Consider the following 25408-nt stretch of genomic DNA (forward strand, 5'->3'; position numbering starts at 1 on the left):
CCCGCCACCACGCCCAGCTAATTTTTTTGTATTTTTAGTAGAGACAAGGTTTCACCATGTTAGCCAGGATGGTCTCGATCTCCTGACCTCGTGATCCACCTGTCTCAGCCTCCCAAAGTGCTGGGATTACAGGCATGAGCCACCGCAGCCAGCCTGCCTATTTACTGCATCTGCTCGTGCATGGGCTTCTAGCCAGCAGAGAGCTGTCTAGGTTACTATCCTGTGCTCCTTAGTGTTATACAGCATGAGAAGCAGCTGCCTGCAGTCTGGTCAGGTTGGATTCTGTGTCAGAAAGATGGACTGCATCAGATCTATAAGAGCTTGGGGCTTCTCCATATAGGAGGGAGTATGGTGTTTCCAGTTTAAGAGATCAGTGGTTGAAAAGGGCTGACAGATGAAAGTCCATTCCCACCCTTGGACTTGGCCTTGGTTATCTTAATAAATGGGTCCTCGTGTCTCCCTGAGAGGCATTTGCATATCTCAAGCACAACCAGATCTGAGATGGCCTGCTTGACTATCTTGACTTCTTTCCCTGACCTCTCAAGTCTCCAGTCTTTCATTTCAGGGTGAGAGTTGGGGTGTGCTAGCACCTGAATCTGGTTCCCAGGGGGCTGCTGGCCTTGGTAAAGTGGGGTAGGCTGTGACATATGGAGTAGGAATCTTTATTCCCTCTGGTGGCTCCTGCAAAACTGGCTTTTCTTGCTCCCTCTGGGCCTTCTTCTTTAACTCTGTATCTGCTAGCGAAGCTGCTCTTACTTTCATTTTTTGGCTTGGCTTAGGCCACAAGTGTTTTGCAATAAGCTGCTAAACAGGGCTGGATTCAGGCTGGTCTTGTTTGTGCTAGATTTAACCATGAGTCAATATAAGGAAACTGATCTGGATGCCGAGGCTGTCCTCTGACCTGTCACCACCTTAAATACACGGCCAATTATTTTCCTATCTATAGTTCCTTCAATCAGTCATCCAACACTAAAAGAAGGCAGTTCTAATTCACAGAGAGTTCTTAACCTCTGGGGGGTTAGCTTAACTCCATAATTCCCTGTAAAACCTTCTTTAAAGTTCTGTAACATGCGCTCCAATGGAGTGGACTTTGATGACTTTACTCCCATTTCCTCCCTTTACTACGCAGCACACCCACTCTTCCTTTTGCCTCAGACTGACCAGACCATCCCCAATTACGGGAGTTTTCAGATGCTGCTTGGCTTTGGAGAGGTCCTTATTCCCACCACAACTCTGAGCTGTGGGGCAACTCCTATTGGACGTATACAGTTCACCACTAGTCCAGGGCAGCCCCATACTTTGCTCGGAGCACACAGTCAATGCTAAGAGATCTGTGACTCCCCACGTCACTCCTTGCATTGTATTCTCCTGGAACCATCTTTCACACACTTTTATATACGTCCCTGTTCCCAGTTCCTGTGTTCCTAATTGGGGTGGCAAGCAACTCTCACCACCTCCAGTTTCCTTTACCTAACCAACTAAGCAAGCCACTCTCGCATCCTGTGTTGGTTGAGGTGTGAGATTCTTCTGAATTGGCAAGCCCCTCTTGCCGCCCCAAGCCTCTCTGGGTCGGACTACTAGTTACACCCCGGGAGGTGATCAGGCTCCCCTTCCGTCCTTACGGGACGGGTCCTGCCTTGGTCCCCAATAACTTACCGTGGTTCCTAAAGTGCGCTATTTCTGGAATCATCCTGTAGCCCTTCTCAGGCTCCGTTGCACTGCTGGGTAGGGATGCCGGGTCATGGGAGAGCTGATTTCCCCTCCGGGCTGAAGTTCTCCCGGCGGTGCCTGGGTCCCAGGTTTCCCTTGAATCAAGGCTCCAGCCCCGATTTTCCCTTGAATCCGGGGCTCCAGCCCCGATTTCAAGGCAAAGGAGACAGTCTCTGCTCCTGGCTGGCTCGCCAAGAAATGTGGGACACAGAGGACTAGAGAGACCAGTATGAGTCAATAAAGGAGGATATTTATTTTAAGGTATGCTCTGGCTCAGTGAATTCACATCCAAAAAGCTGAGCCTTGAACAAAGACTGAGTGAGATTTTAATAAGTAAACTTACAGAAGCAAAACAAAGGCAGTTAATTATATAATGACCAGTTTATGTAATTTATAGCATAACTGAATTCTTGGCATAACTTGTGGCCTTTAATAGCTGGTGGCCTTGTAGCTGCATTGAAAGAAAAAACAAGAACTGGCTAAATACAGACGTTTGTTTTTCTTTGTTTCCTTCACCCTTGCTTCGGAGGGGAGTGTCTGGAGCCTATTTCTTTGGTTTCAACTTCTCAAACAGCATTATCTTATAACTGTCCTTGAAGTGAGCTTGCTAGGCAAAGAAAAACTTGTTCTTTTCTTTTCAACTCTTGCCTTGCCACATTCTGGGCTTTGGCTTTTACTTTTCTTGAAATAAATAAATGCAGTAATTATCTCATTGAGAGGCTTCTGATCAAATTGATCAGCAAGTCAAACTCTCTGCTTAATCAGCAGTAACTTTATTTTCACTCTTCAAAGGCATTTTACCTGCCTGAAATGCAAAGGGGCAGTTCAAGTGACTGTGCTGAGCTGGTCCTCTCCAGTGTCAGTCTATTCACATTCACACAGGTGATCTTCTGGTGTAAGGGGGTGCACTTCAACAGCATTATCACAGCAATGTGGAACAGATGTAACAGAATAAAAGAGGAATCACTGCCTTCCAGGAAAAGGAGTTAATCTTATTCATTTTGTGTATGAGTACGTGGAGAATAAAGTTACAGAGAACGCTTTACATTAGTAGTGCAGTGCAGATCCTATGCAATCTTCTTGTTTGTCAAACATACCCTGAATGGTTTTATTAAGTACTATGTTTCTGGATCCACCCCTTATTTGATTCTGATAATTTCTACTTTATCAATTTAAATATTCACTCAACATCATCCAGATTTCTGTCCTTGATGCTTAAGTCCTCAGACATAAAATATTATTGATAAAAACATGAGCCTTTATTTTACTACAGAGCATTTCTTTAGCTTGGAAAGCCAAATTTGGTCAAAATGAAATATAACAATGAATATAAATCATTTTGGAAGTGAATTCAAATTATTTAAAATATTAAATTTGATAGATATATGTGTCAGAATTTTTAAAAAATTTGAATACATAAAGCTGAAACTTGAAAAATATACATACATGCTTTTAAGACAAATCACTTTAAAAGCATGATCATTTAAGTTTTTAATTTAGCAGTTTTGGCTATGTTGAAAATGTAAATATGAAATATCACATAAAATAATGTTAAGAAAACAAAACAAAGCACAATAGTCCTGAAGGCTGTTGTGAGACCTCGGTTCTTAGTTTCAAAAATTTAAACGAGACGCAAAAAAATGAGGATGCAGCATAGATAGATTTATCGCAAAGTAGAAACACTATTTTAAAAGTGCGGTGCAAAACACCCCTGAGAGAAAAGCAATTCAGGATGGGCTGCTTATAAGAATGAGACAGCAAAGACTGGAAATAGAGAGACTCCATTTATCGGAGTCTTACATAATTATTTACAAAGAGTTAGAAAGTGGTGTTATTAGTAAGCATGTTCTGGGTGGTCCTCTTGGTGCACATACACAGTGGCTGTACATGCTTGTTTATATGTCACATATCTCATTAGCATATGTCACATATCTAATTAGCATCTCATTAGCAAAAACTCCACTCACGTGTGTGTTTTTTAGTATTACGATGAGTAAAAGGTCAGAGGACAAGTAAAATCAAAATGTGCATGCTCTTTATGGGGGAATATCCCTACTAGAGAGCTTTGCTTGAATGAGCTGAAACGCAATGCAAATGTTGGGGTTTATTGTGTTGATAATATGCTATCACCAGGAAATCGCCATGGCTGCTGCATCCTGAGGACATGGTGACCTTCTTGGCTAGCTAGCCAGCTTCAATAATACTTATCTTAGTTTATTTTCAACTATCAACTCTGAGACAAAGATTTACCTGTTATGTCAATATTGTCAAAAGTGAGAAAATGACAATTTTAAAATCAAACATATTTGAGCTTGATTTGGGTCACTAGCTGTGTACCCAGGAGAAATTATTTTACATCCCTGGAGCTTCAGTCAATATGTATGCATTGGTGTATGTTTGTTTTTTTGGTGTAGGTTTTTGTCCGTTTACATTTTTAAAGATATTTTTTCCTACTTTATGCTGATGTTAAGCTACACAAAACTTACCAAGAGCTCTATTTTACTACTTTTTTTTTTTTTTTTTTTTAGTATTTATTGATCATTCTTGGGTGTTTCTCAGAGACGGGGATTTGGCAGGGTCATAGGACAGCAGTGGAGGGAAGGTCAGCAGATAAACATGTGAACAAGGGTCTGTGGTTTTCCTAGGCAGGGGACCCTGCGGCCTTCCACAGTGTTTGTGTCCCTGGGTACTTGAGATTAGGGAGTGGTGATGACTCTTAACAAGTATGCTGCCTTCAAGCATCTGTTTCACAAAGCACATCTTGCACCGCCCTTAATCCATTTAACCCTGAGTGGACACAGCACATGTTTCAGAGAGCACGGGGTGGGGGGTGGGGGGTAAGGTTATAGATTAACAGCATCCCAAGGCAGAAAAATTTTTCTTAGTACCGAACAAAATGGAGTCTCCCATGTCTACTTCTTTCTACACAGACACAGCAACAATCTGATCTCTCTTTCCTTCCCCACATTTCCCCCTTTTCTATTCGACAAAACCGCCATTGTCATCATGGCCCGTTCTCAATGAGCTGTTGGGTACACCTCCTAGACGGGGTGGCGGCCGGGCAGAGGGGCTCCTCACTTCCCAGACGGGGTGGCCGGGCAGAGGCACCCCCCCACCTCCCTCCTGGACGGGGCGGATGGCTGGGCGGGGGCTGCCCCCCACCTCCCGGACGGGGCGGCTGCCGGGCGGAGACGCTCCTCACTTCCCAGGCGGGGCGGCTGCCGGGCGGAGGGGCTCCTCACTTCTCAGACGGGGCGGCCAGGCAGAGACGCTCCTCACCTCCCAGACGGGGTGGCGGTCGGGCAGAGACAGACACTCCTCAGATCCCAGACGGGGTTGTGGCCGGGCAGAGGCGCTCCTCACATCCCAGACGGGGCAGCGGGGCAGAGGCGCTCCCCACATCTCAGACGATGGGTGGCTGGGCAGAGACGCTCCTCACTTCCTAGATGGGATGGCGGCCGGGAAGAGGCGCTCCTCACTTCCCAGACTGGGCAGCCGGGCAGAGGGGCTCCTCACATCCCAGATGATGGACGGCCAGGCAAAGACGCTCCTCACTTCCCAGACAGGGTGGCAGCCGGGCAGAGGCTGCAATCTGGGCATTTTGGGAGGCCAAGGCAGGTGGCTGGGAGGTGGAGGTTGTAGCGAGCTGAGATCACGCCACTGCACTCCAGCCTGGGCAAGATTGAGCACTGAGTGAGCGAGACTCCGTCTGCAATCCCGGCACCTCGGGACGCCCGGGCAGGCAGATCACTCGCGGTCAGGAGCTGGAGACCAGCCTGGCCAACATGGCGAAACCCCGTCTCCACCAAAAAATACAAAAACCAGTCAGGCGTGGCGGCATGCGCCTGCAATCCCAGGCACTCGGCAGGCTGAGGCAGGAGAATCAGGCAGGGATGTTGCAGTGAGCCGAGATGGCGGCAGCACAGTCCAGCCTCGGCTTGGCATCCGTATTTTACTACATTTTTCAACCAAAAGGTTAAATACTTAAATATTGAAAGTGACATTCTGGATTATCCTTTTCCACGCAGACTACATTGCAGTTTTTCCTTATGTGGTGCAAGGTTATAAAAATGCCATTCAGTTGATTTCTTAAGTAAAAGTAGAACGTGTTTTCTCAGACAGTAGCATGAGAATTTTTGACACACTACCATTAGACATAATGAAAGCAAATGAATAAATGTGTTGAAATTTGTCTTTATTCACGAGATCATTAGAGGCTAAGTCATGGCAACACGTGTAGTTCAATTCAATTTTTTTTGTGTAAAATTTTGTTGAGCTGCATCCATCTGCATATGTAACACTAATTTGGTAACAGCTTCTTTATACTAAGCCAGAATTAATTTGTCCTCATGGTTTTGTTTTAAATGTGTGAGCTGTATTATATCACATTTGAACAAGTAATATAGAGAATATAAATTTAGTTTAGAGAAAGAAAAGTACAGGCACACTAAAAATGAATTAGAATCTGGCAGCTGACACTGATTAACAGGTTGAGCAAATTCAACTAGACCTAAATCTCTGTAAACAATTTTGAAAGACAGAATTCTAACTAAAAACATCTTCAACAACATAATAAACCTACGAGATTAAAAAAAAAAGTTGGTTTACCCATCATCAATCAATACTAGGTTAAATTAGAAAATTGTGAACACATCATACAAAAAGTAAAATTACTAAACTATCCTCAGACTTCATCTGATTAAAACAAGACTTCTGGGTATTTGAAAGCACCAAATTATTGATGAAAAATATCTATTCTGAACAGATCCTTGATCTTATATACATATTACTACTAAGTAAAACCTAATACAGCTTTGATTTCTGAAATATTTGTGAATGTCTGTCACTGCACTCAAAAATCAAGAAATTATTTCATCTGTCTAAATTTTGAGGAAAATATTTGCTATTTTAATTGAATGCCAGTAGTGTGTGAATTCATGTAGTGTGGCAAACCACCCATTTCTTTAGTATTCTGCTATTTTTATAAAATAAGCCAGAATTTGTGGAGACATTTGTAAACAAAAAATCTTTCCTAAAAGTTAGACATCAGAAAATAGCGATATTAATGTTACGTTATATACACAGTTTGCTAAACCCTACCATAATCTGTAAAGTTTTTGTGTACAACAATCTTAGATTACCGAAAACAAAATAAAATTTTTCTTTTTTTTTTTTTTTCAGACAGAGTCTCACTCTGTCACCAGGCTGGAGTGCAATGGTGTGATCTCGGCTCACGTCAACCTCTGACTCCCAGGTTCAAGCCGTTCTCTTGCCTCAGCCTCCCTAGTAGCTGGGATTACAGGTGCCTGCCACCACGCCCACCTAATTTTTTGTATTTTTAGTAGAGACGAGGTTTCACTATGTTGGCCAGGCTGGTCTCAAACTCCTGACCTCAGGCAATCCACCCACCTCAGCCTCCCAAGGTTCTGGGATTACAGGAGTGAGCCATCATGCCCAGCTAATGAAATTTCTTTCTTATGTTATGCTTAACATATATACATATATATATCCGGACAGACAGGAACTATGACTGCCACTTTAAAAAACAAATATTTCAGCACAATACAATGTTTTGTGTATGTACAGAAGGAAAACCAAACTTTGAAGTTTTCAAATCATAAACAGAAGCATTATTTGTGATTCTAAGCTTTAAATATATAAAACAAATATTTATTCTTCTTTTTATTATTATACTTTAAGTTCTGGGTTACATGTGAAGAACATCAGTTTTATTACATACGTGTACACATGTGCCATGGTGGTTTGCTGCAACCATCAACCCGTCACCTACATTAGGTATTTTTCCTGTTATCCCTCCCTTAGCCCCCCAGCACCTGACAGGCCCCAGTGTGTGATGTTCACCTCCCTGTGTCCATGTGTTCTCACTGTTCAACTCCCACTTATGAGTGAGAACATGCAGCGTTTGGTTTTCTGATCTTGTGCTAGTTTGCTGAGAATGATGGTTTCCAGCTTCATCCATGTCCCTGCAAAGGACATGAACTCATCCTTTTTTACACCTGCACAGTATTCCACAGTGTATATGTGCCACATTTTCTTTACCCAGTCTATCATTGATGGACATTTGGGTTGGTTTCAAGTCTTTGCTATTGTGAATAGTGCCACAATAAACAGACGTGTGCATGTGTCTTTATCATAGAATGATTTATAATCCTTTAGGTATATACTCAGTAATGGAATTGGTCAAATGTTATTTCTAGTTCTAGATCCTTGAGGAATTGCCACACTGTTTTCCACAATGGTTGAACTAATTTACACTCCCAACAGTGTAAAAGTGTTCCTATTTCTCCATATCCACTCCAGCACTGTTGTTTCCTGACTTTTTAATGATTGCCATTCTAACGGGTGTGACATGGTATCTCATTGTGGTTTTGATTTGCATTTCTCTAATGACCAGTGATGAGCATTTTTTCATGTGTCTGTTGGCTGCATAAATGTTTTCTTTTGAGAAGTGTCTGTCCATATCTTTGCCCATTTTTTGATGGGGCAGTTTGTTTGTTTCTTGTAAACTGTTTAAATTCTTTGTAGATTCTAGATATTAGCCTTTTGTCAGATGGATAGATTGCAAGAATTTTCTCCCATTCTGTAGTTGCCTGTTCACTCTGATGAGTTTCTTTTGCTGTGCAGAAGCTATTTAATTTAATTAGATCCCATTTGTCAATTTTGGCTTTTGTTGCCACTGCTTTTGGTGTTTTGGACATGAAGGCTTTGCCCATGCCTATGTCCTGAATGGTACTGCCCAGGTTTTCTTCTAGGATTTTTATGGTCTTAGGTCTTACATTTAAGTCTTTGATACATCTTGAGTTGATTTTTGTAAAACGGGTAAGAAAGGGGTCCAGTTTCAATTTTCTACATATGGCTAGCCAGTTTTCCCAACACCATTTATTAAATAGGGAATCTTTTTCTCATTGCTTGTGTGTGTCAGGTTTGTCAAAGATCAGATTGTTGTAGCCGTGTGGTGGTATTTCTGAGGCCTCTGCTCTGTTCCATTGGTATATATCTCTGTTTTGAATTCTGCATTTCCACTTTACAAATCCCACAGTTCTGCTATTTCACAGTAGGATTTGACACTAAATAAGTATTTTTTGATGGTGACAGAGTGATATCAATTTCTGAGGCCCTGTTCTGTTCCACTGGTCTACATATCTGTTTGGTACCAGTACCATGCTGTTTTGGTTCCTGTAGCCTTGTAGTATAGTTTGAAGCCAGGTAGCCTGATGTTTCCAGCTTTGTTCTTCTTGCCCAGTATTGTCTTGGTTGTGCAGGCTCTTTTTTGGTTCCATATGAAGTTTAAAGTAGTTTTTTCCAATTCTGTGAAGAAAATCAATGGTAGCTTAATGAGGATAGCATTGAATCTATAAAATTACTTTGGGCACTATGGCCATTTTCACGATATTGATTCTTCCTATCCATGAGCATGGAATGCTTTCCCATTTGTTTGTCTCTTCTCATTTCCTTGAGCAGTGGTTTGTAGTTCTCCTTGAAGAGGTCCTTCATGTCCCTTGTAAGCTGTATTTTCCTAGGTATTTTATTCTCTTACTAGCAATTGTGAGTGGGAGTTCACTCATGATTTGGCTCTCTGTTTGTCTGTTATTAATGTATAGGAATGCTTGTGATTTTTTGCACATTGATTTTGTATTCTGAGACTGCTGAAGTTGCTTATCAGCTTAAGGAGGTTTTGGGCTGAGAAGATGGGGTTTTCTAAATATGCAATCATGTCATCTGCAAACAGAGACAATTTGACTTCCTCTCTTCCTATTTTGATACGCTGTATTGCTTTCCCTTGCCTGATTGCCCTGGCCAGAACTTCCAATACTGTGTTGAATAGGAGTGGTGACAGAGGGCATCCTTGCCTTGTGCCAGTTTTCAAAGGACCGTTTATTCATCTTAATTTAAAATACAGTGGTTTTTGAACAATTCAAGTAGCATTAGACTATTAAAAACATCATGAGCCACACAAGTGTCAACTGCATTTTCAGAATTATGAGAACTTAGAAAAAGTAAACCAAACACCTTTAGTTTAGTTAAAAACATACTAAACTACTTTGTATTTGCCCTTGTGATGAGAATCATCTTTATTCATTTTGGAACAAACAGGAAATGCTGTGGTGGTAACTTGCTGGTGGTGACTGTGATGATATTTACTGTCTTAGGGATGATGGGATTCAGTGGACCAGAATCGTCAGGACCTTACTATGGTCACTGCTGTTTAATTCTCTTCTGTCATTCATTTTCCAGACTCCTTCATCAATTTCATTTCTATCATTGAATGAATGATTTTGCACTGCTTTAGCATCTGCCTTTGATTTCTGCTAATTTTCTTTGTTCATTTTTCTTGTCCATCTCTGGTGGCTGCTTTGCTATTCAACTTTGAGGAGTTTGTGCTGCTTCACCCTCAGCTGCTCCAACAGTCCATCCATTTGCCTCAAGCTCTCTGGCAGGGTCTCCAGGTTCTTCTGTGTCTGGTGTCTGAGATTTATCAGCAGGAGCTTGTTTTCAATGACCACAGCTACCGCCGTCTCCTGCCAGTGGGGTGGTTTCTACAAGAGCCAAAGTGCCCATGCCCGGAGACACCTTGGTTATAAACCTTGGTCATGGCCCAGTTTGGTGCGCAAAAACCCAATGTCAACCAGAGCATTTCGCACAGATGGGTGAGCTTTCCTTGGCACATGGGGCAGTTCCCCCATCATCTCTATGCTGCCACCTCCCCTTACACAAAGGATGGTGTAGGGGCCTGAAGACACCGTGGAAGAGTCCAGGGAGTTAGGAGGGGCTGGGCCAGGCAGCCTCAGGCCCAGAGGATGGCAGCACCCCCTCACACCTGAGCAGACATCAGCCACTGCCACCTCGGGGAGGACAGAGGAGCCCAGGCTCCCCCAGCCAGCCTCACTCTAAACCAGCAGAGGAAAAAATTATTGTTATTATTTTTTAAAGTGAGATGGAGTCCCGCTCTGTCACCCAGGCTGGAGTGCAGTGGCACAATCTAGGCTCACTGCAACCTCTGCTTCCCGGGTTCAAGTGATTCTCCTGCCTTGCCTCCCAAGCAACTGGGACTACAGCCGTCCACCACCACGCCTGGCTAATTTTTGTACTTTTAGTAGAGATGAGGTTTCACCATATTGGCCAGGCTGGTCTCGAACTCCTGACCTTGTGATCACCCCGACTCAGCCTCCCAAATTGCTGGGGTTACAGGCATGAGCCACCCCGCCTGGCTGAAAAAAAATTATTTTCTAAAAAACAAAAAATAGTATAAAAAATAATATGCAGAAGAACTTGCATATCTAACCTGATCAAATTTTTATTCTTTTTCTTTTTATTTCTGCCTTTTCCTCTTAAATTGTGCTCTCCTGAAGTCATGTTCCATCCTCATGTGGGAATTTAAAAGTAATTATAATGGTCACAAATTTAGAAACTAAAAAATTTTAATATATTTTTGCCCACAAGTCCTGGTTTAACATTAAACTTTCAATAGTGCTTTCTGAATTCTACACTTTATTTTCTATTTGATTCTGTTAACTAAAATATAGGAAGTAAAAATATAATCTTGATTTGCAGTTTCAGTTTACAAAGAATATGTATTCATTCTTTTAACCTAAATGTGTGTTGAGCACACATGATATGCCAACAATTTGGTAGCCTTAGAAAATAGAAGCCAGGCAGGGTGGCTCATGCCTGTAATCCCAGAATTTTGAGAGGCCAAGGTGGGAGGATCACCTGAGGTCAGGTGTTCAAGACCAGCCTGACGGGGTAAAACCCCGTCTCTACTAAAAATACAAAAATTAGCTGGTTGTGGTGGGGGGCACCTGTAATCCCAGCTACTTGGGGGGCTGAGGCAGGAGTATCGCTTGAACCCAGGAGGTGGATGTTGTAGTGAGCCAAGACCATGCCATTGCACTCCAGCCTGGCAACAGAGTGACACTCCGTCTCAAAAAAAAAAAAAAAAAAGATTTAAACATAATATTGTTTTAAACAATTTTATGTCATTATATTTAAAAAATTAGATACAATTATTATTTTTCCAGAAAGGTATGTGGCAAAAAGTGACTGAAGAAGAAATAAAAGAGAGCCCAGGTGTGGTGGCTCACACATGTAATCCCACGACTTTGGAAGGCCAAGTTGGGAAAATCACGAGGTCAGGAGTTCAAGACCAGCCTGGCCAACATGGTTAAACGCTGTCCCTACTAAAAATACAAAAATTAGCTAGGCATGGTGGTGGGCGACTGTAACCCTAGCTACTCAGGAGGCTGAGGCAGAGAACTGCTTGAACCCGGGAGGCGGAGTTTGCAGTGAGCCGAGATCATGCCACTGCACTTCAGCCTGGGTGACAGAGCAAGACTCCATCTCAAAAAAAAAAGGTAAATAAGAAATCTAAAATTTATGTTTTTAATTTTACAAAAATAAAAAATACATCTATTATAAGAGAACAGCTTGAGCCGGGCATGCTGGTTTATGCCTGTAATCCCAACGCTTTGGGAGGCCAAGGCAGGTGGATCACAAGGTCAGGGGTTTGAGACCAGCCTGGCTAACATGGTGAAACCCCATCTCTACTAAAAATACAAAAATTAGCTGGGCATGGTGGTGGGCACCTGGGATTACAGGCATGAGCCACCACGCCTGGCTGACATCTGCTATTCTTAACTGCTCTATAAGCCTGCTGAATCACAGGGCCATAGAGCAATCACTGTTGTTTACATGCTTTTTGTCAGGCAGTTCTTATGAGCCTGCAAATGTTATATTATTCCCAACCACTGACATCAACATGCATTTTTTTACTTTTTATTCAATAGGGAAAAGCCCCACGTTTTTGCTTCCAACCATCACAGTCATAAAGAAATAGTCCCAGTTCCCTGGTAACTCTGCTTTCCCACCCCTACATGAGACAGCCTTTGTGAGGCACGCCCCCATGGCTTGCCTTGCTCTTGTTTCTGGTGCAAGTGTATTAAACACCTTTTAATGGCATTCAACTTTCTTTTATGAATTAAGATCCAAGCAAAATTCAAATCGTGTTGCTGTGCTTTGTTATCAGAAATAATATGGGGTTGGGATGGGTGTGGTAGCTCATGCCTGTAACCCCAGCAAAGGGTGGTGGGAGGCTGAGGCAGGTGGATCACTTGAGGCCAGGGGTTCAAGACCAACCTGGTTAACACAGCAAAACCCCCTCTCTACTAAAAATACAAAAATTAGCCAGGTGTGCTGGTGGGCAACTGTAATCCCAGCTACGTGGGAGGCTGAGGTACGAGAATCACTTGAACCTGGGAGGTGGAGGTTGCAGCGAGCTGAGATTGCACCACTGCACTCCTGCTTAGGCGACAGTGCAAGACTCTGTCCCATTTAAAAAAAAAGTAATTGACAGTTTCATAAAAATAATACTTAATTTGTAGGCTGATCTAGGAAGCATGGATATTTCATATTCATTCCTCAAATCCATAAGCATAAAATTTTTTTTATTTATTTGCATTGTCTCTGATTACTTTCAGTAATGTTTTGTAGTTCTTTTTTTTTATTTATTTATTTGCATTGTCTCTGATTACTTTCAGTAATGTTTTGTAGTTCTTTTTTTTTTTTTTTTGAGACAGAGTTTCACTCTTGCTGCCCAGGCTGGAGTGCAATGGCGTGATCTCGGCTCACTGCAACCTCCGCCTCCGCCTCCCATGCTCAAGCGATTCTCCTGGCTTAGCCTCCCAAGTAGCTGGGATTACAGGCATATGCCACCACGCCCGGCTAATTTTGTGTTTTTAGTAGAGACGGGGTTAATCCACGTTGGTCTGGCTGGTCTCAAACTCCCAACACACTTACTCCATAATTTTCTTACACCTAAGGTTTGTCTTTAGATTAATAAATATTTAACTCTATGTAAATCAAAACTAAAAGTCTTATGTGTTTGCAGGCAGACAGGCCACATGTTCCAAGAAAAATATATAAGAAATTTGAAAAAATATTAAGAATTTAACAATGAATTTTATTTATACTCATATATAATTTTTATTATGACCATAAAAATAACCCTGTAGTAAATAACAATTTAATTGTACATTTTAAATTTAAAAAAAAGTGTAGAATTGGATTATAAAACATAGGATAAATGCTACAGGTGAAGGATGCCTCACTTAATGCTGATATTATTATTATATATTGTATTCCTGTATTAAAACATGCCATATATTGCATAGATACTCATGCAGCCACCAAAATTAAAATAAATTTAAATGATTAAAAACAGAATAAAAATTTACCTACAGAAACAATATTCTTTAACTTATTTGCAGTTGAAAGCCACTGGCAAAAAAAAAAAATCACTAGAGATGTTAATCTATTATCTTACTAAACAGTATATTGTTACCATCTTTTACCTATACCCTTGAGTAAGGTGAAAGAGGTTAAAGTTTGTGGCATAATAACGCTTCATTGAATGCACAATAGTATTTAACATGTTAAAAATGTTGAATTAAACTATTAACTTCACACATAATCTAAAATTTATAAATGTACTGCATTTTATTATATAAAAGTACAATCAGGCCAGGCTCGGTGGCTCATGCCTGTAATCCCAGCACTTTGGGAGGCCAAAGTGGGCAGATCACCTGAGGTTGGCAGTTCAAGACCAGCCTGACCAACATGGAGAAACCCTGTTTCTACTAAAAATTCAAAATTAGCCAGGCATGGGGGCACATGCCCGTAATCCCAGCTACTCAGGAGGCTGAGGCAGGAGAATCACTTGAATCTGGGAGGCAGAGGTCACAGTGAGCCAGAGATCGTGCCAATGCACTCCAGCCTGGGCACCAAGAGCAAAACTCTGTCTCAGAAAAAATTAGTACAATTAGTACAATAATATACTACTCATTTAATTTTAAATAAAATTAAACATGTTTTCTTCTCATGATAATGCAGATTACTCTGAACACCTACCTGATGCATCACTCAATATTATAGGTTATAAGAGCCTCTCCACTTAGATTTTTATTATGCATCTTACATTTTAATGTCTTTACTTTTCTATAGAAGAGGTAATAAACAACACCCCCCTAATAAAAAAGAATGCCTTGCCAGGCATGGTGGCTCACACCTGTAATCACACTTTGGGAGACTGAAGCGGGCAGATCATGACGTCAGGAGTTTGAGACCAGCCTGGCCAACATGGTGAAACCCCATCTTTACTAAAAATACAAAAATTAGCTGGGTGTGGTGGCAGGCACCTGTAATCCCAACTACTCAGTAGGCTGAGGCAGGAGAATCACTTGAAACTGGAAGGCGGAGACGGAAGTGAGCCAAGATCATTCCACTGCACTCCAGCCTGGGCAAAAGAGCGAAATTCCATCTCAAAAAAACAGAAAACAAAACAAAACAAAAAGAATCTCTCACATCTTTGACGCAGCAACAATTGATCCTATGCTTTCACATTTGACTCCAATAGGAATGAAGAAACAGCAGGAAATAATTTCAGAGTTGAATGACATCATTATTCACTTTTCAAAAAATCTGTATTTTTTTCAAGAAATATACTTTGAATGTAATTATAATTCTGCAAAAAACCTTCTGATCCTCTGAAAGTTACATACAAATAATTTTTCTGCCAACTTTAGTTTTAGATTTCCTATACTCAGCACTGATTTAGAATACGTGAAGTGTGTCAGTGCCTTATATATTTCTACCATAAATTCTGATATTTGCATAGACTTAATTATGGATTAAATATTTTTTTACATGTACTGCATCTGCAAAAGCATACTCCAGTATGAACTCTCTGTTGTTTTCTAAGCTGTAGTTTTTGAAAAAGTGTTTTTCCAAATTTATTACATTTGCACAATTTTTCCCCGATGGAACTTTGTTCCACAGAAGGAATCTCAGATAATACTTTTTAAAAGCCAACCCCAGACATGGATTTGTACCATCAAATACCTGAGTTGGGTGAATTTATCTCCTCTTGAGGCTCCAAGATAAACCTGGGGTTCCTGAGTTTGTCAGAAAGTGACCTTCAGGATTTCTGACCTGTGGTAAGTAAAAATGTCATAGTACAGGGAATATGTAGACAAGATTTGAATCCAGTTTTCCCGAGGGGCTTTTAATTGGCTCCATAAATCAAGTTTGATTCCTTAAAAAAGGAACACCATTCCAGTCAAAGTGTTGGTAAAATAACCAGTTTCTCCAATTGTGTCCTGTTACTTATAAAAACCAGATTCTTGGCAGGGCGTGGTGGCTCATGCCTGTAATCACAGCACTTTGGGAGGTCAAGATGGGTGAATCATGAGGTCAAGAGATCAAGACCATAGTGGCCAGCATGGTGAAACCCTATCTCTACTAAAAATATAAAAAATCAGCTGGGCATGGTGGCGCTCGCCTGTAGTCCCAGCTACCTGGGAGGCCAAGGCAGGAGGATTGCTTGAACCCAGGAGGCAGAGGTTGCAGTGAGCCAAGATCGGGCCACCACACTCTAGCCTGGCAACAGAGTGAGACTCTGTCTCAAAAAATAAATAAATAACACAACAAAACAAACAAAAAAAAACATTCTTAATGCACTTATGCAAATAAATGTATTGCCATAAGTTAAGAATACTCACAAATAGTTTCCAAATTCTAGAGAAATCAAGTAGAGAGAATTAAATATGCTTTAAATTTTGTTCACAGGAGTATACTAACTTGTTAAAAGCTGTAAATAGATCAAAAGGTAGGTTTCCTTGACTCAGAAAACAAAAGAAAGGATCAGCAACATTTTAAGTAAAAAGTCAAAAAGATCAGCTGGTCTCGGTGGCTCACGCCTATAATCCCAACACTTTGGGAGGCCAAGCAGGCAGATCATGAGGTCAGGAGTTTGGACCAGCCTGACCAACATGGTGAAACCCCGTCTCTACTAAAAATACAAAACTTAGCCAGGTGTGGTGGCATGCATCTGTAATTCAGCTGAGATCACACCACTGGACTCCAGCCTGGAAGACCGAGTGAAACCCCGACTCAAAAAAAGAAAAAAAGATTACTTCAGTCTTCTAATAGTTCAATGCATGCACTTAATCCTTGTTCTGCTTAATATTCATGAACATTTCAGCTCTCCATGAGTTCTGAATTTTTTTCCTCTACTCTGATGTCACCATCTCCAAAGTTATCAGAAACTTGCATTCAAGACCACCTGTTAAGAGTTTTATAGCTGATTATAAAACCACCTTCTAAAGAGGACCAAAACAATACAATTGTCTGTGAATGACAAAAAGTTTTAAGGCAACCAAAGTCAAAGATACAATTGACAAGGAAATTTGTTACCTCTGTGGCAATATAGCAATTATAATTACTGCTAATAATGTACACTAAGTCATATAAGAATTATAGGAGTTTCCCATAATTTTAGAACAAATACCAATAATATACTTATACAAACACAGCCCAAAAAAACCAAACACCATTTCATATTCAACAACGTTCTCTGTATAATTTTTATAAGAAATAAGCAAAATTATGTCATTTTTAAACTTTAGGGAACATAATATTTTAAAGGATTAGGTAAGAAAAATACATAATTTATAATTTGATTTTGGAAAGTTTGATGGAACTTTGTTCCACAGAAAGAATCTCAGTCAAATATCAAAGATTTAAAACACCTGATGTCACAGGTCATTGTAAAATAAGTCATTAATTTGACCAAAGTAATAAAGATTTCAAAAACAAAAAAAGAAAAAACCTTCATTCTTTGGGAGACAAGACTTAATTTTCCAAACAATAATCTTCAATAAAACAGCATAAAGCCAATTAAATTTGTTTTTCAAAATGTTATGAACAATCTATAAAATTCTAATCTTGACCATGAGATATAACTTCTATAAGCCTTTATTAAGGAGTCAGTTAATGCTTCAAGAAAACCTTGTTAATCTAACACTGGGGCCCCTATTCTGGTCTTGCATTAGTGTGCCTTTGACATTAATGATTAATGTATAGAAAAACTGAACTTATTTTATCTCTCAAAATCAGTTCTTACAATCTCACATGCCCACCTCTTTTGTGATAGTCTCTGGGCCTTTAGGAGTTGAAGAGCTTTAATTTCATCTCATCTGCTTCGAAGGTGGCTCATGGTTGGGCTATCTTCATCTAGGAGAGTATTCCAGGCCAGACCCTACTTAACCTAAAATAATTAAAAAGGTCAGAATTTGAAAATAATTTATTTAAGTTCAAATATTAAGGATAGCCACCAAATAACAGATTTAAGTAGCCCTGAATATATATTCCAATTAGTAGCCATTACAAGCCGGTTTTTTGGAAACAGTGCGAAGGCAGTTTCTAAGTTGTTTACCAAGAATTGACATTAAAATTATTGGTAAATTGATTGGGTATTGATTGGCTATATATATTTGTTTTACATATTTTATGAAAAACGAAATAATGGTTGAGACAGCTAGTCAGAAACAAAATGTCTTTAAACAATTGCCCCTGTGCACAGATGTGGGGTAAGATTGAAGTCTCATACTCTCATCTTTCTGGGCTTGATAAATTGTGCAGAACTCAAAGAGCGGAGACTGCTCTGAGCTACTTTTCTCACCGCCTTGCTCAGGACACATAAACCCCTTAGGTGGGCAGATCACCTAAGGTCAGGAGTTTAAAACCAGACTGGCAAAGATGGTAAAACCCTGTCTCTACTAAAAATAAAAAAAGGCCGGGCACAGTGGCTCATGCCTGTAATCCCAACACTTTGAAAGGCTGATGCAGGTAGATCATGAGGTCAGGAGTTCAAGGCCAGCCTGGCCAAGATGGTAAAACCCTGTCTCTATTAAAAATACAAAAAATTAGCTGGGCATGGTGGCAGGTGCCTGTAATGCCAGCTACTTGGGAGGCTGAAGCACAGAATTGCTTGAACCCAGGAGGGGAAGGTTGCAGTGAGCTGAGATTGCGCCACTGCACTCCAGCCTGGGTGACAGAGCGAGACTCCATCTCAAAAAAAAAAAAAAAAAAAAAAATTAGTTGGGCATGGTAGTGTGTGCCTGTAGTCCCAGCTACTTGGGAGGCCAAGGCAGGAGAATTGTTTGAATCTGGGAGGCAGAGGTTGCAGGGAGCCAAGATCATGCCACTGCACTCCAGCCTGGGTGACAGAGTGAGACTCCATCTCAAAAAAAACCAAAACAAACACAAAAAAATTAGTCGAGCATGGTAGTATGTGCCTGTAGTCCCAGCTACTTAGGAGGCCAAGGCAGGAGAATTGTTTGAACCTGGGAGGCAGAGGTTGCAGCGAGCCAAGATCGTGCCACTGCACTCCAACCTGGGTGACATAGTGAGACTGTCTCAAAAAAAGAAAAAGAAAAGCAATAGTTGTGTTGTGGGATTCAGGAGACTGGAGAGACCAATGGGTGAGACAGGAGAATTTCATTAAGGTGGCCACTGGCTCAGTGGATTCAAATCCAAAAGGCTGAGCCCCAAACAAAGATGAGGCTTGGCTTTTAAGCATGCAGTGGCATGAAACTCAGGGGCGGGCTTAGCATCCTACAGAAGCAGAACGAAGGCAGTTAATCAAACAGTGAAAGGTATGTGACTCAAACATATCTAGTGACCTCTGCTGGGCTGATCATCAGACTCTCAGCAGATGGTAACTATCTTAGGTTTGCTCAGGTATGTCTTGTGACCTTCGCAGTGTTGCACTGATGGAAAATAGGAACTTACAAAATCTTTACAAACTTACAGAAATAGTTAAAAAATAGTTATGAGAGCAGAGCAAAGAAATGCTGGTCTGGGAAGGAATCTCAAGAGAGGGAAGCTGATAAGAACTTGTTATTCTCATCCCTGTTCCTGGAGTCCATTCCTTCTGGGCTCTGCCTGGCTTTGCAGATAACATTATCTTAGTCCTCGCAGGCCCTTGGAGTGAGTCAACCCAGTACAGGGAGGAACTTAGGTTTTTCTCCTTTCAATTTCTGCTTTAGTTGAACACAGAATATTATTTTATAAATAACGACTTAGTAATTATATAGAAATCACTAATCACTTTACTAATACACTGCATGTATTGGTGTTTTGTTTTGTTTTGAGATGGAGCCTCACTCTGTTGCCCAGGCTGGAGTACAGTGGCGTGATCTCAGCTCACTGCAACCTCCACCTCCCAGGTTCAAGTGATTCTCCTGCCTCAGCCTCCCAAGTAGCTGGGATTACCGGCACCTGCCACCACACCCAGCTGATCTGTATTTTTAGTAGATGTTGGCCAGGCTAGTCTGGAACTCCTGACCTTAAGTGAGCCACTGGTCTCGGCCTCCCAAAGTGCTGGGATTACACGTGTGAGCCACCATGCCTGGCCAGTTTAGAACTTTTACAAAATGAAATAATAAAACTGAATTAATTTATTTTAAAACAATATGAACAAGTATAATAAATATTACAAGTCCCCATTCAGATAAAGTTTATTTATTTATTTATTTATTTTGAGATGGAGTTTCACTCTGTCACCCAGGCTGGAGTGCAGTGGTGCCATCTTGGCTCACTGCAACCTCCACCTCCCCAGCTCAGGTAATTCCCTTCTCTCAGCCTCCCGAGTAGCTGGGACTACAGGCACATGCCATCACGCTCAGCTAATTTTTGTATCTTTATTAGAGATGGGGTTTCACCATATTGGCCATGCTGGTCTCAAACTCCCAACCACAGGTAATCCACCTGCCTCAGCCTCCCAAACTGCTGGGATTACAGGCGTGAGCCACATTGCCCGGCCCATTCAGATAAAGTTTTATTAACTCTATGAAGATTTGATAAATGGCAAATATGACATTTTCAAATAGTTTTGTGATGACCAGAAAAAATAATCTATTAGGTATTTTTATAACAAAATAAGACAAAATGATACTAGTGATATTATTACAAAATATTTTCATTATTTCATATAGTATATCATAAATTTAATCTTAAAATATTATAAATATGCTAGAGGTTCTCAAAACTAAAAAAAAAGCAAAATAACTAAATCATTCAAAATTGGCTTTTTTTGTTGTTTTAAAAATAAAGTTTAAGGCTAGGAGCGGTGGCTCATGCCTGTAATCCCAGCACTTTGGGAGGCCGAGGCGGGCGGATCATGAGGTCAGGAGCTCGAGACCATCCTGGCTAACACAGTGAAACCCCGTCTCTACTAAAAATACAAAAAAATTAGCCAGGTATGGTGGCGGGCAACTGTAGTCCCAGCTACTCCGGAGGCTGAGGCAGGAGAATGGCGTGAGCCGGGGAGGCGGAGCTTGCAGTGAGCCGAGATCGTGCCACTGCACTCCAGCCTGGGGGACAGAGCGAGACTCCGTCTCAAAAAAAAAAAAAAAAAAAAAAAAAAGTTTAAGGCTAATCATATGGGTAATACAACTAGACCCCTACCTGTATTAATACAATTACAATTTGACATGAGATTTGGGTGGGGATTCAGAGTCAAACCACATCATTCTGCTCCTGGCCCTCACAACAAACCTCATGTCCTAGTCACATTTCTTTTTTTTTTTTTAAGATGGAGTCTGACTCTGTTGCCCAGGCTGGAGTGCAGTGGTACAATCTCTGCTCACTGCAACTTCCACCTCCCGAGTTCCAGCAATTCTCCCACCTCAGCCTTTCAAGTAGCTGGGATTACAGGCATGTGCCACCATGCTTGGCTAATTTTTTGTATTTAGTAGAGATGGGGTTTGGCCATGTTGGTCAGGCTGGTCTTGAATGCCTGACCTCAGGTGATCCACCCACCTCACCCTCCCAAAATCCTGGGATTACAGGTGTGAGCCACCATGCCCAGCCTCCTAGTCACATTTCAAAACACAATCATCCATTTTCAACAGTCCCTCAAAATCTTTTTTTTTTTTTTTTTTTTAAAGACAGAGTCTCACTTTGTCACCCAAGCTGTAGTGCAATGGCATGATCTCGGCTCAACACAACCTCCACTTCCCAGGTTCAAGCAATTCTCCTGCCTCAGCCTCCCAAGTAGCTGGGATTACAGGCACCCACCACCATGCCTGGCTAATTTTTGTATTTTTAGTAGAGACAGGGTTTCATCATTTTGGCCAGGCTGGTCGCGAACTCCCGACCTCAAGTGATCCGCCTGCCTCAGCCTCCCAAAGTGCTGGGATTATACGAGTGAGCCACGGTGCCTGGCCTGCTCCCCCAAATTCTTAACTCATTTCAGCATAAACTTAAAAGTCCAGTCCAAATTCTATCTAAGACAAGGCAATTCTCTTCCACCTATGAGCCTGTAAAATCAAAAACGACTTAGTCACTTCCAAGATACAATGGTTATGCAGGCATTGGGTAAATTCTCCTGTTCCAAAAGGGAGAAATTGGCCAAAGCAAATGAGCTCCAGGTCTTATGCAACTCCAAAACCCAGAAGGGCAGTCATTAAATGTTAAAGCTCTAAAATAATTCCCTTCAACTCCATGTCTCATATCTAGGCCACCATGATGCAAGGGGTGAGCTCCCAAGGCCTTAGGCAGCTCCACCCCTGTAATCTGCAGAGTACAGCCCCTGCAGCTGCTTTCACAAGCTGGCATTGAGTGCCTATGGCTTTTCCATCCAACTCATATAAACTTACTTAACCTTAATCACTTTCTAAAATTGTTGTTTTCAAATAGAATCACATTGGAGGTTATGGCTTACCATATGAATTTTGATAGAAAAGTCAGTCTAAATCATGGGAAATAACCATATAGAGGTAATATTTTATATCTCATTGGAATTAATATAAATATGTTTTTATTTTTTATTTTTTGAAACGTAGTCTCACTGTGTCCCACAAGCTGCAGTGCAGTGGCGCAATCTCACCTCACTGCAAACTCCGCCTCCCGGGTTCATGCCATTCTCCTGCCTCAGCCTCCAGAGCAGCTGAGACTACAAGCACCTACCAACACACCCGGCTTATTTTCTGTATTTTTAGTAGAGACAGGGTTTCACTGTGCTAGCCAGGATGGTCTTGATCTCCTGACCTCGTGATCCGCCCGCCTCGGCCTCCCAAAGTGCTGGGATTACAGGCGTGAGCCACCGCGACCAGCTGAATTAATATAAATATGAAGCAGATTCTGGTAAGTTAAGATGTATATTATAAGGCCTAGAGAAACAAGTTAGTAACTTTAAAAACATGAACAATCACTATAGAAATCTAAATATTACATGGAAAGTATCTAATATAAAAGAAAGCACTTAAGAAAGACTAGCCCGGGCCTGGTGGCTCACGCCTGTAATCCAGCACTTTGGGAGGCTGAGGCAGGTGGATCATGAGGTCAAGAGTTCAAGACCAGCCTGGCCAAGATGGTGAAACCTCATCTCTACTAAAAATACAAAAATTAGCTGGGTTTGGTGGCAGGCGCCTGTAATCCCAGCTACTTGGGAGGCTGAGGCAGAGAATTGTTTGAATCCGGGAAGTAGAGGTTGCGGTGAGCCAAGATTGTGTCACTGCACTCCAGCCTGGGTGACTGAGTGAGACTGCATCTCAAAAAAAAAAGAAAGACTAAAGACAATTCTAAAACTAGAAAAAGACTAGAGTGTGGTTGAGGACACATGGCCCAATAAAGTTTCCAAAGGAAAACCTCAATTCAAAGATGTCTGGGCAAGGCATTTGTGCCTGTGGAAGATAAAAGGAGAAAAAGCGGGAAAATTTTTGACAGTGGAATGTAAGGGGATTATTTTTTACCTTTCTCTCATGTAAAATATTTACAAATAGAAAACAAGTATTTTTAAAAGTGTCATCCAGTGCTCTGTGACAAAGTGATTAATTAAAATACTGTTTCTGAAATGTACAATAAAGGACAAAAATAGTTGATAATGTTGTGAATTGAAGGGGAGAAGTTGGCTTTGGGGAATGTTGGAAAGAAACTGGGAATTTAAGATTTTACTGCAAGCCTGGCAAGGATTTTACTGGCAAGGCTGAACAGGACAGAGTAGTGGATTTGAGACCCTGCTTGCCACACATGTGGAAAATACAGGGTGACACCAGTGCGTCTGATTAAAGTCAAAATAATTAAATAGCAATATTTGGACTGAAGTGGCGTTAGTGGTCTAGGTTCCTATGTAACAACAACAACAACAATAAAATCTAGCTCAAATGTATTTTTTGTAAGTTACTACCTTAAGAGAAAACAAAATTCAGGTTTAATCAACCACAAATCTCCAATTAATCTGATTACATAACGAAAGAATTTTCTCCTGGACACTGCAAATGGACTACCTAACTGTACCCAATCGATTAATTTGCTTTGCTTCATCACACACCTTATAGAAGCCTTTTCTTCAAGACCCTCTGGTAGCCCCAAAACCACAAACGTCGGGCGCAGTGGCTCACGCCTGTAATCCCAACACTTTGGGTGGCCCAGGCAGGCGGATCATCTGAGGTTGGGAGTTCGAGACCACCCTGACCAACATGGAGAAACCCCCGTCTCTACTAAAAATCAAAAGTAGCCGAGCGTGGTGGCGCATGCCTGCAATCCCAGCTAAGTAGGAGGCTGAAGCAGGAGAATCGCTTGAACTCGGGAGGCGGAGGTTGCGGTGAGCCTAGATCGTGCCATTGCGCTCCAGCCTGCGCAACAACAGCGAAACTCCCATCTCAAAACAAAACAAAAGCCCCCACAAACCATGTCTGGGGACTGTCCCATTGATTAATCACTGTTTGTGCATACTAAGTCTTTTTTTTTTTTTTTTTTTTTTTTTTTTTTGAGACGGAGTCTCGCTCTGTCGCCCAGGCTGGAGCTCAGTGGAGCGATCTTGGCTCATTGCAGCCTCCGCCTCCCGTATTCAAGCGATTCTCCTGCCTCAGCCTCCCGAGGAGCTGAGATTACAGGCATGCCACGCCTGGCTAATTTTTTTTGTACTTTTAGTAGAGACCGGGTTTCTCCATGTTGGTCAGGCCGGTCAGGAACTCCCGACCTCAGGTAATCCGCCCACCTCGGCCTCCCAAAGTGTTGGGATTACAGGCGTGAACCACCGCGCCCGGCCATATTAACTCTCTAATGGTGCTTCAGTTTATTTTTGAACAGGGTAAAGTAGGAACTGGGGACCCCACAGACCGCAGCTCCTTCCACGCAGGAGACCCGCACAACCAGTCGGAGTCTTTCCCTGATGACCTCACAACCTGGGGAAGATGACGGGCTGCGGGCGCAGAGCTGCGCAAAGAGGGCTACAGGCTGGGGCTAAAGCCGCTGTGCTGAAACGGTAAAGGACGCCCCGGGGTCCCTGCACCGGAGGAGAGTGAGGGCTGAGCTGCGGGGCACTCAGGCTCACAAGACCGTCCCGCCACCGCCATTTCTGGCGCGTCCCAAAGAGGCCTCCCCCGTCTCCAAACGCCCTGCCCCGCACACTCACCTTTTCTCGGCTTCAGGAATGTCCTGGAGTCTATGAATCTTCCAGCACCATCAGTTCACCGCGTGATGGAGGCTGAGGCTGTGGCCGAATCACCGAGACCCTTGGAAAGAAGACACAGGGCAGTGAAGAGCTAACCTCGAGCTCTGGCTGGAGCAAGAGACAAAGGCCCCGCCAGGTACCGGGAGCCACCCCTTCCTCTCTGACTGTGAACCTGATTGGACAGTTCCCACCCCAGCGCCCTTAATGGATAGAGCTCCAGGCTCCGCGCCCTCAGGCCTTGAGTGACAGAAGACGCGATCAGACCTTGCACTGAATACCGCGAGCGTGACAGGCTCTTGGCTCCAGTCATTTCAGGAAGGGCTATCTCTGGGTTGGGCCCACATGTGCCCAGGGGTTATTTTAAATCTTGTGTATAAGGTTATG

General features: G+C 42.1%; 1 long non-coding RNA gene across 9 annotated transcripts, besides 4 other annotated features; it reads right to left on the reverse strand.

Annotated features, from left to right (window-relative positions):
* Positions 796-996: a silencer, noted in NCBI's record as "peak3410 fragment used in MPRA reporter construct". NCBI's record gives its function as "represses an SCP1 promoter by STARR-seq MPRAs in K562 erythroleukemia cells {active_cell/tissue: K562}" and the evidence as "EXISTENCE:reporter gene assay evidence [ECO:0000049][PMID:32103011]".
* LOC105372321 (uncharacterized) lies at positions 1941-25146 on the reverse strand. 9 transcript variants are annotated; one of them, NR_187819.1, is made up of 5 exons: positions 24986-25146; positions 17703-17830; positions 15625-15714; positions 14792-15019; positions 5889-10619 (listed from the first exon to the last, which is right to left on the reverse strand). It is a non-coding gene; the product is annotated as an uncharacterized LOC105372321 (long non-coding RNA). The 9 variants fall into 9 exon arrangements; NR_187823.1 differs by lacking the exon at positions 5889-10619 and adding an exon at positions 13667-14521; NR_187816.1 differs by lacking the exons at positions 5889-10619; positions 14792-15019 and adding an exon at positions 1941-5382.
* Positions 4216-4416: a silencer, noted in NCBI's record as "peak3411 fragment used in MPRA reporter construct". NCBI's record gives its function as "represses an SCP1 promoter by STARR-seq MPRAs in K562 erythroleukemia cells {active_cell/tissue: K562}" and the evidence as "EXISTENCE:reporter gene assay evidence [ECO:0000049][PMID:32103011]".
* Positions 21653-22152: an enhancer, noted in NCBI's record as "H3K4me1 hESC enhancer chr19:21643213-21643712 (GRCh37/hg19 assembly coordinates)". NCBI's record gives its function as "activates a minimal SCP1, AML or CMV promoter by ChIP-STARR-seq in naive H9 embryonic stem cells {active_cell/tissue: H9 hESC(naive)}" and the evidence as "EXISTENCE:reporter gene assay evidence [ECO:0000049][PMID:30033119]".
* Positions 24463-25361: an enhancer, noted in NCBI's record as "H3K27ac-H3K4me1 hESC enhancer chr19:21646023-21646921 (GRCh37/hg19 assembly coordinates)". NCBI's record gives its function as "activates a minimal SCP1, AML or CMV promoter by ChIP-STARR-seq in naive H9 embryonic stem cells {active_cell/tissue: H9 hESC(naive)}" and the evidence as "EXISTENCE:reporter gene assay evidence [ECO:0000049][PMID:30033119]".

Source organism: Homo sapiens, chromosome 19 (genome assembly GCF_000001405.40).
Source record: "Homo sapiens chromosome 19, GRCh38.p14 Primary Assembly".
Taxonomy (NCBI): domain Eukaryota; kingdom Metazoa; phylum Chordata; class Mammalia; order Primates; family Hominidae; genus Homo; species Homo sapiens.